Source organism: Homo sapiens, chromosome 3, assembly GCF_000001405.40.
Source record: "Homo sapiens chromosome 3, GRCh38.p14 Primary Assembly".
Taxonomy (NCBI): domain Eukaryota; kingdom Metazoa; phylum Chordata; class Mammalia; order Primates; family Hominidae; genus Homo; species Homo sapiens.
The window spans coordinates 139,673,831-139,684,662 of NC_000003.12; the positions used below are offsets into that span (position 1 = coordinate 139,673,831).

The 10,832-nt window shown below is 45.6% G+C and overlaps 1 protein-coding gene across 23 annotated transcripts in view, besides 1 other annotated feature; it reads right to left on the bottom strand.

Annotated features, from left to right (window-relative positions):
• Positions 1-4,220, bottom strand: part of NMNAT3 (nicotinamide nucleotide adenylyltransferase 3) — a 117,871-nt gene extending 113,651 nt beyond the window's left edge. For 22 of the 23 annotated variants that reach the window (NR_174944.1, NM_001401604.1, NM_001401603.1 and 19 more), the window contains exon 1: positions 3,875-4,142. The gene's annotated coding sequence lies outside the window, so the exon portion shown is untranslated. 23 annotated transcript variants of the gene reach the window in all.
• Positions 4,196-4,245: a silencer, noted in NCBI's record as "silent region_14769". NCBI's record gives its function as "represses an Ori minimal core promoter by ATAC-STARR-seq in GM12878 lymphoblastoid cells {active_cell/tissue: GM12878}" and the evidence as "EXISTENCE:reporter gene assay evidence [ECO:0000049][PMID:35858748]".

The following is a 10,832-nucleotide window of genomic DNA, read 5'->3' on the forward strand; positions in this document are numbered from 1 at the left end:
CTAAGTACAGGGAACACTTGGTCCAAAGCTGTGGAAGTGCTCACAGCCAAGCAGAGGAGGTAATTCAGCGTGGCCAGAGAAGGGCATGCCGACAGGCACCCGCTGGTACTATGGGAAGGCTGAGGAGGGATTCAGGAAGGCTTCCCTGCAACAGAGTGTGCCTCTGCCGCTGCCCCAGGGATTCTGGATTTAGGGGCAGCTCTGGCCAGAGGCAGGGACAGCAGAGAGGCACAGGGATGAAGACCAGGATTTCACTGGGCAGGAAGGCAGCCCAGACACAGCACTTCTGGGTGGAAAGAGCAGACAGTGCTGACTTCCAGATGCATGGTCACCCTCATCCCAGGCACTTCCACCCAAAACCTATTACAGAGAATCTTAGATTTCCCTGGAGCTGATTTCTCAGATTCTCTCTAGCAATAGATTGCCTTTCTATTCCTAATTCCTAGAGTGGCACATGGGTCTATGTGTATGTGGGAGACACAATGATGAAGGAATCATGAGTCCACTGTGGTTTGTTAAATACCATCATGCAGAACTGCACAGCTAAACCAATGGGGCAGGAGCTGCCATCCTGAGGCCTGCCCCGCAAAATGGGATCTGTCCATCTTTACTGGGGAACCATGATAAACGAGCAAAGACAGACACTGGTGAGGACGAGCCACTTTATTTAAGAGCTTTGACAGCTCAAAGTGGTTTAACATAGATGTATGGAAGATTTATCGAGATGATAAAATACCTGAACTTGAAAGGCACACAAATTATAATTTTGCAGGTTTTTTTCTTTTTAAAATTTCACTTAGTCAAGTGCTTTAAGTAACGAATGAAATGCACATAAAGTTGATTTCATTTCACACAAGCTGTCTGGTTAGTGTCTGCAGAGTGCCTTTGCTTCCAGATGGGACTCAGTTCAGAATCCATGCCACCCTTCTGTGCCTAGGGCCTTCAGTTTCCTTACCACTGTGGAGATCATTGGGAAGATTAATAAATATAATAATAAGGCAGCCATTATTGACCGGGCACTTACCATACTGCATGTTGTATACTGAGGTCAGTGCTTCATATGCTTATCTTGCTTAATGCTCCTAACAGCCCTATGAATTAGCTACAGTGATTCTCATTTTACAGATGCAAAAACAGGTTTAGAGCACTTTGGTGATACATGGGAAAGTCACACGAGCAATTTTATCTGACTACAAGACTATGGTGTTCACCACTAAGCTGCGACATACATGAAAATATTTGGCCCTCAGCAAATGCTTAAATACATTAGTCATCTTTCCTTACCTTCGTATTCCTTTTAAACATACACACACACACACACACACACACACACGTGCACATATACCATGAAAAATCTGCCTCTTGGGTTTATGTTCATTTATTTGTTCATTACTGATTCATGCCTTTTTGGCCTGGTACTCTGCTGGGTGAGAAGTTTGCAAAATTAGACTCCATAGCTCCCAGGTCAAAGAGCCAGAACGGTCTCAGGCAGTTACCATGCTCAAAGGGATGGCAAGGGTCTGCAAGGTGCAGTGGCAGCCCCCTGCAGGGAACCCCCACTCAGCCATCAGTTAGAGACACATCATCAAAAAGACCATTTTAGACCCTTTTCAACCCTAGTTTTCTCCAACTTTTGCTACGCTTTCTTTGGCCTGAGTCTACAAAGACACTGGGGCTTTCTGGGGCTTTCTGACAGTGCAGCTGCCCAGGAGGCCCTTTATCATGCAGAACACCCCTCTCTGCTGCCAGGCTCTTGCTTTATGGCAAAACCACTGCAACAGATAATCTAACCCCCTGACTAATCACCCTGCACAATTCCTCATACTGCCTCCACTCCTATCCCTCTCCCGCCTCTGCCCTGTCTTGTTTCATCAATTTTTGTCCAGACTAAGGAACGATATCAATAGTTATAGTAGTAGTATCCTCCCACATGTCAGGTACTGCTCTATGTATTTTAGGTCCTCATTAAATCCCCATAATAACCTTCTGAGGTAGACACTACAACTATGTATATTTTAGTTCATTCAGGAGAAGGAGAGGGTGGGAGTTAATATTTCTTCAGGGCCAACGATATGCTAAGCACCTGTTAAGCCTGAGCAATCCTCACGACTCACAAGGTGAGTGAGCTGCCCAGGGTCAGTCACAGAGCTGAGAAGTGCCAGGTCTGTGACCACCAAGCCTGGAGCTTCCCTTCTCATGGGCTGGCATCCTGCAGTGGTCTGAGAGGGGAAAAGAGAGGCTGCACAATGGCTGCTCTCTCTCCTCTTCCCTCCAACACCCTCTGTTAACATCATACCTGTTCTTTTTTACCACTCCCCACAAATGGTGCCAGACTCCTGCCTCATCTGGGTTCCCCTACTCTCTGGGCCTCTCAGTTGGTTTTCATGGAGCACTTTCTTTGTCTACAACAATGTTGTGAACAGAGCCAAATAAGAAATTGGGATCATTTGAGCCAATAAAATACAGTGAGCAGCTGACAGATGTTTCCTGAAACCTAAAATGCTCTCCCAAATCCATGGGGTCTCAAGGTCTGACACGTCCTTAGCAAGGTCCCAGCATAGTTGCTGCTTCTGGGAAGTCTTCTGTCCAGTTTTAAGAGGTGACACCAAAAGCTGAGAACCACCAATGAAATTCAAGAAGTAACTGATGCTCAGTGGAGCTGTGTGAACCATACCTTCAGGGGCTCCTGGGTGGCTTTCTGAGAAAAACAGAGAAGCTTTCCCCTGCAAGGCCAGTGGGTAAGAACCCTTTCTCTGGGTTGTGCCAGGGTGGAACTGTCACTTTATTTCACCTGGCCCACCGGACATGGGCTCCAGGAGGGCAGGGCCCCTGTCTGATTTCTCTCTGAATCCTCAGAGCCAGGGTAAAGTGGGCGCCAGTTAAATGTTTCAAGAATGAACAACTAAACCAGTCATCATTTTAGAGAACAGGCTGTTTGAGAGATTCTACTCAGAACCACTTATTTGATAGAGGAAGAAACAGGACTCAAGGAGAGGGGAAGTGACTTTGCTGAGAGGCAGGCACACTGTGTTTAGTCCAGAACAACATCAAGCCTTGGATGTTTAGTGCAGAGTAACATCCAGCACCCATCACGCAGTGCTAAGTCATTTACATTCACCATTTCCATTCTCAATGGGTAGAACAATCCCATTTTACAGAGGAGAACGTTAAGGTTAAGGAACTTGCTTTCCCCCCAGCTCTCTGCAGGCCAGCCCCACCAACCCTCCTTTCCTCAAGCCACATTCTCTCCCAACAAAATGAGTTTGCTCTGTTGTTCCCCGCCCGGGAATTCTCTAAAGTTTTAGTTCCAGCAGCCTTTGTAGCTGGGGGCCCTGATAAAATCTCTCCAGCACCCTAGAATTTCAATCTTCATAGCTCTGACCACAGTTTTAACGTTCACACTTGTTTGCATAGATATCCATTTGCTGTCGGTCTCCCCCCACTGGACTGTGAGCTGCACGGGGGAGGGCACCACATTTTTTGGCCTGCTACTGTAACCCCAGCACTTAGCCCAGCAGCGGACACTGAGTGGAACACGTTAAGTATTTGTTAGACACTGTGCTTATATTTTTAACCTTTGAGTGCACGAGTGCTAAAGGTGGGATCCGAACCCACGTCTCCGGGACTCTGGTCATAGCCAAAGGGGAGCTGGGGGTTAGGTTGACACGCTGCAGCGAGAACCGCCGGCGCGCAGAGGCAGCGCGGAGCTGTCCCCCCGGTTCGCGCCACCCCGGATGGCTCCGCACTCCGCCGCCACCTGTCGCCCCAGCGGGGACTCCCAGGACTCAGTTAGGGGCCAGGAGTCACGTGGGCCCGGGCATTCAGCCGCGATCCAGGTCCTAGTGGGCTGACGAGGGGCCCACGCTGCGCTTACCTGCTATTTGCAGGGCTCAGCAACGGCGCTCGGCGAGTCTCGGGGGACTGCGGGGGACTAGGGGACCTGCTGGGCCTAGCAGGGGCTGTCGGTCAGCGCGCGGCCCGGCGCCCGAGGTCCGAGAGGGAAACGACGTTTGGTCTCGGGACTCAAGGCTGCCTCCGGCCCGGGCAGCCTCAGGTCTAGATCCCCTAGTACCTGAGCTGGAGGCGGGGCCAAGGCGAACTTGACCTTGCGCTCCCTTAGCGGCCCCGGGCAGATGGAGTCTGAGGGAAACAGATCTGCGCCCCGCCCCTTCGCTGGGGCGGGCCCTAAGGAGACCCGGCCCTGGCCCCGCCCAGGGTCCTAAGCCCCGCCCTCTCCCCTGCCCCCGCCCCCGCCCGCTGGCTCCCAACCGCCAAGGCTCTTTTGTGTTGCGTGCGTGTTTGCTTTTTTATTCTCCTGTTTTGTATTCTGTTTGTTTTGTATTTTTATTTAATTTTCTTTTAAAAAAATACATGAAAGTAACGCCCACTTACTTATTAGAAAATAAAATTATCTAGATTTGCTTATAATGAAAGCAACAGGCCACTTCTCCCTCCCATCACAGCTCTTTTTAACAATTCCTCCGTTAATTTCTTCTAGTGGTCACCCGCTTGTCGCAAAAAAAAAATAAATAAATAAAATAAAAAAATAAAAAAAGAAACTTACATAGCGATTTCTTGATTTATCCATTGACTTTCTGCCATGTTATATGAGGATCTACTCTCTTACTGCGCGGCCCCTGTTTCCTTCTGACAAATTTACACCTCTATTCTCAAGCCCTGCCCTGGTAAACGCCAGACCTCAAAGCAGGGAAGGATTTCTGGGGCCTGAAGCATACACAGTTGTGTGGGGAGAAGGAAGGGAGGGCTGCTTAAGAAAGAGAAGACAGAATTAGGGCTTGCCAGTGAACATTTATTTGGAATGAGAAAATAAATCTTAACAGAATCCTGGGGTCTTAGAGATTGGGGTCCCTATCCCCTAAAACCTTCTTAGGAAATTTAGGTCCCAAATTTGCTTCCCTAACGCAGTCTGGCTTCCTCTGCCCACCCAGAACTCTCCATAAGCCCCCAGGGCTCATGGGAGCCTTGCAGAGAGAGGCCTTGAAGGACAAGATTCACTAGATTCTGCCAATACAGTTTCCTAATGGAGTGAATTGGAGTGTGCGAAAAAGAGAGACATCAAGGATGATGTCAAGGTTTTTTGATTGCTGTACACTTAATTTCCAGCGTTTCCTAGACACAGGAACACAACCTCATCTTAGTATGGAGAGTGTTTTATAAGCCTGTCCACATCACCAGAGCCTCACGGTGCACCCATGAAGTTGGCTGGACGGGTGCACTGTCCACAGTTTTAGGAGGCCCATAAATTTGTCCCTTGTGTATTAGCACCGGGGGCATGCAACTTGCACCCAATAAGTACCCAGGTAAATGGTACTTCCCCACTCAGTCTGAAGACACAGTGTCCGTGCCCTCTCGGATCCCTTTTCTCTTACCTGTGGTGTAAAATGTGGCTCCAGAAGGTGATCTTGGACAAGTCTCTTTACTTCCCAAGCCTCACTTTCCTTTCGTATAATGGGAGGTAACAACCCCTACCGCACTGAGTTTTGGGGAGGATTAAGTGGCTTAACATCTTTGGATATTCTTTAATTGATAAGTCAGCTTATTTCCCAGCAGGGTGGGAGGCTCATGAGAAAGCTTAGGGATTTCTGAGAATCTTGTGTAGCATGTAGTACCACAGGTTGATTAGAGGCCTTCGATTAAAATCGTGGGCTGAAGAGTCATTCTGGGTCAGGGCCCTAGGCCAGGGAGGGAGAAGCTGCACACAGAGAGCAGAGAAGAGGCTGGGCAATGACTTCCTCATGCAAGGGAAGCTTTCTCTGCCTGAGGTAGTGAAGACTAAAGCTTGGTCTAGGAGGAAGCCTGGTTTCCTAGGCAAGAAAAAAGGAATGAATTAATGGCATTCACAGCAACTGGATGAGATTGGAGAGTGTTATTCTAAGTGAAGTAACTCGGGAATGGAAAACCAAACATGGTATATTCTCATAAGTGGGAGCTATGCTATGAGGATGCAAAGACATAAGAATGACACAGTGGACTTTGGGGACTCAGAGGGGAAGAATGGGAAGGGAGTGAGAGATAAAAGACTACAAATTGGGTTCAGTGTATACTGCTCGGGTGATGGGTATACCAAAATCTTACAAATCTCCTCTAAGGAACTTACTCATGTAACCAAATACCACCAGTTCCCTAATAACCTATGGAAATAAAAATATTTTTTTAAAAAAGTAGCGTCCCCTTGTGCTGGAAGGTAAGAACCTCATATAATAGCCAAGCTTTACCTAACCTAAGCGGTGAAGACGCAATGGCTGAGAAATCCATTTTGGAGAGGCAACTACCTCCTAATTTTTTAGAAGGAGGAATACCTAAATGCAAGTCTTGTATTTGCTTAAGCTCACAAAAAGACTACTGGATTATGGGTATAATGGGAATAATATTTTCAGATCTCTCCTTTATTGGTAAGTTTCATTTCTCCTGGATCCTATCTGCCATTATGGCTCAAGGAAGGTGGCCACCTAATGCCACCTCAGGAAGGAGGAAGATTTTACATAGAGGATGTCTCAGCTTGAGTGCCTCAGAACCAGATCCTGAGGTAAGAATTAATGCAAGTAGTTATTTGAGAGGTACATGGAACACCAGCAGAGTAATGAAGAAGCAATACAGGGAAGAAAAGGGGAGCTCAATAAAAGATTAAGCCAGCTACTATAATAGATGTTTAGGGCTTAATCCTAGGGGAAAACCCTAGAAAACTGTGTGAAGAGCATGCCTTGGAATCATCCCACCCAAGGCTGCAGGAGACAGGTCTCTACAGGGAAAAAAGCTGGAACTGACCACTTAGCTCATATTTTTGAACATTTAAAACATTATTTCTAGGCATAAAAATGTCATTACTAAAATGAGATCTGGCTACAGTATAACACTATTCTGCAGTTTCCTTCTATCACTTAACAGTGTGCTGATGAAGTTTCAGGAGGAACTCTTTGGGCAGTAAGCAATGTGCAGATGGCTGAGAGTCACAGTCCTGGGATGGACCTGAGGCCATTCTGGAAAGCTTGCTTGTGGATGGATTGTGATGAGGCCGTAGACTGGGGCAGCCTCTGTATTTGGATGAACCTATTCTAACCTTGACTTCTGACCTGTCGCTGAGGAAAAGCAAGCTTTGAGTGGGTAAAAGTAAAATGTAAAAGGGAGACTGGTGGACTTTTCAAATGACCAAAGAGGGCAAACTTTTCAGTCACTGCAACTACTTCAGCAGATGGGCATTTTCTTTTCTTTTCTTTGAGATGAAATTTCACTTTTGTAGCCCAGGCTGGAGGGCAGTGGCGTGCAACCTCCGCCTCCCAGGTTCAAGTGATTTTCCTGCCTCAGCTTCCCAAGTAGCTGGGATTACAAGCGCTCGCCACCACGCCCAGCTAATGTTTGTATTTTTAGAAGAGACAAGGTTTCACCATGTTGGCCAGGCTGGTCCTGACCTCAGGTGATCCACCCGCCTTGGCCTCCTAAAGTGCTGGGATTACAGGCATGAGCCACCGTGCCCGGCCAGGTGTTTTCTTACAAACAGTGAACAGATAGTGCTCATGCCAGATCTTTCTTATACAAGCATCAAAGCAGGTCCTCACTAGAAAACCTTCACTTTGTCAATTTGGCTTCATGGCTATACTTACTATTGAGCTAAAATTATCCTTTTAAAACGTGAATCAGTTTATAACACTCCTCTGCTCAAAAGTTTCCAGTGGCTTCCACCACAATTAGGGTAAAATCTCAAGTCCTCCCCCTGGTGTGCAAGGCCCTCAAGGATCTGCCCTGACAAGTGCTCCAGCTGTCAGCCATTCTCATCTCTGGTTTCCTTGACTCTGTTGCTGTTCCTTGGACACACTGGGCCTATTTGCACCTAGAACCATGGTGCTGCTGTCCTCATTGACCTAAATAACACACCGCCCACTCTTAGGATAACTTTCCCAATTCATTAGCTTTCTAGTAGACAGCTCCACTTAACAAACAAAAATACTCCCATACAACCCCTTTTGTAGTACTTACTACCTATCATTGGAGGATATTTTGCTCATTATCTGTCTCCCTCGCAGAAGTGTAGGGCCCAAGAGTGGCTGAATCTTTATACATTTTGTTCCCTGATATGTCCTCACACCCACAACAGTGCCTAGCACCTGATATTCAATAAATATCTGTTGAATGAATGAATGCATTGAATTGAGCAAATGAAAAATATATTCAGTACACATACAGATAAAAATATTCTAGAATGCAGACTTTCAACTAATCTTGGTTAGGTTCCTCTCAAACTGAAAAAAATTGTTAGAACACAGAAAAATAAAATGAAATGGCTGAGCTGTATTATGTAATCTGATTTATAATTACAGGTTGAGTATTAGACTGAGAACTTTTGCTTTTTTATATTTCACCCAATGTCTATGTTAAATGTTTAAGCAAAGGTTAGCTTGAGAGGCTACATACTCATTTAAAAGTAGTAAAAAGAAACAAGGTTCTCCTAGTCACTTTAATAATTCAGAATAGTATTCTGTGGCTTCTGTTGGCATTTGAGACCCCAAGATGGCAACTGGTTACCTGAAAATAAAGGCCTTGATCAAATATTTAACATCTCACTTATTTTCATTTTCTGCATATTTTGTATTCCTGATTCTCACTTTTTTTTTACCCATTCTGCAGTCACACAATTCACACACTGAAGTTAATAGAAATGTTCCATGGATTATTAAATGCAGCTAAGCAATGAGTTTTTGCTAGAAAATAAGGCCAAACTGGGGCCACTTTGCTATTCTAACAAAGTAATTTTTCCTTGAAGGTACAGACTATGAATTTACAGAAGCCTCTACCCTTTATTCTGAAGTTTTGTAAGGCAAATACATTGCTGCAGGAGAGAATTTAAAGTGGAAAACAGATTCCCCCTGAAAACATGTTTTATGGTGGCACAATTAAGAAGTCTTATAATCAAGAACAGTTGAAAGCACAGAATTATAAGTGGACCTTTATAATTATGGCAAGAAGACACTAAATAGTGCCTGTTTGCTAATGAAAACATTGCACTCTGGTGCCAAAAGCAGTGGAGTGGGTTTTGGTTGGTGCTTACCTGGGTTAATTGCCCAAGGAGTGCTCCAGTAGCAGCATCCCAGTGCTGTCAGCTGCCGTTCCTAATGGAGCTTTTATATTTTACCCCTATTGCTAAAACCCTAATCCAGGCTTTGATGTCCATTTGGGCCTACTTGGTACAAAGAGGGCCTTCTGGAGGTGGTCAAAGTCATAATGGAAAAGCCTTTAGGAATAACCCATCCTTTTGTGATCAGTAGAGAGTACCCAGAGAGGTTAGAGGATTTTCTCGAGATCACGCCTGACCAGTGGTGGGTTTGGAGTATTAGTCAGGACTTTTTTGTTAGAAGCAATTGAAACAGTCTCTGTGACCCAGTAGATGGGAGTTTATTGGCAGGATTGGGCCTTCAGAACTTACAGAAAGTTTGGAGATCCAGGCTTAGAAACGGATAGGGAGAAAGTAGCTCTGAAAAGCTAGAAAGTGAAAACCCTGGGAATAATCTCTTAGTAGAAATGGTCTGGTCAGGAAGCTGCTGCAGAGATAGATGATTAAACTCTAGACACTTTCTATGCCCTTGTTTCACTTGCACACTAGCCAAAGTCTTGGGAGAGGCCCTCAGATTGGCCAACATTAGTATACACTCTCCTATTTGTCCTGGGAAAGGTGTTGGCAAACTCCTTCAACTGCAGAAGTTGAAAGGAAAGCATCTGAATTTACTCTCCTACTAAGACTCTCATAGTGGAGAGGGGCAATTTCCCAAACGGAAACCCAAAGAATGCTGTTAGGAGGAAGGCAGGGATGCAGAGAAGCTAGAGTACAATGAAGCCCCAATTCAGTTTAGAGCGGTAGACTCCTGTGCAGCTAGAGATGGCCACAAGAAGCAAACAGGAGTCCACCTGGGATTAGTAGGAAGATTTTGCTTTGCAAGCTTTCTGTCCCTCTCCTCCTTTTTCCTTTTGGCTTAGAATGTGGGTATAAGCCCAGAGGCCAAGGAGCCATTATGAATCTTAGAAGTGAACTCCAAGCGTGAACTCCAAAGCCACCTACTAAAGATGGCTGAATGAATGAATAGGAGTCTGACATGTTAAATACACCGTGGAGCTGCTGTACCAGCTCTGAACTGCCTACTTCCAGCCTTCTTATTTTATAAGAAAATTAAAAAACCTATCTGGCCACACCACTGTAGTTATCAGTAACTTTCAGTCTAGCACAGTCTGATAATACAAATTAGTCCTAGGATTCTGGTCTCTCAATCTCCTATGCAGCACCATTCCTGTTCTGCTTACAAAGACATGGTTCCTGCCTTCAAGGAGCTTATGGTTGAATTGAGGTTATATTAGTCTGGGTTCTTCAGGGAAACAGAACCAATAGGATGGATAGATAGATAGATGATAGATAGATAGATAGATAGACGAGGACATTTATTAAGGGAATTAGCTCACATAATTATGGAGGCTAAGAAATCCCACATCTGCCATCTGCAAGCTGGAGAGCCAGGAAAGCCCATGGTGTAATTCAGTCTGAGTCCAAAGACCTGAAAACCAGGGCAGCTGATGGTGTAACTTCAGGTTTGAAGCTGAAGGCCTGAAAACTGGGGCAGGCAGGAGAGATGCTAGTGTAAGTTTCTAAAGGTCCAAGAATCAGAAACTCTGATGTCTGAGGGCAGGAGAAGATGGATGTCCCAGCTCAAGAAGAGAGATAATTTGCCCTTCCTCTGGATTTTTGGTCTGTTCCAGCCCTCAGTAGATTAGAGGATACTCACCCACATTCACGAGGGTGATTTCTTTACTCAGTCTACTGATTCAAATGATAG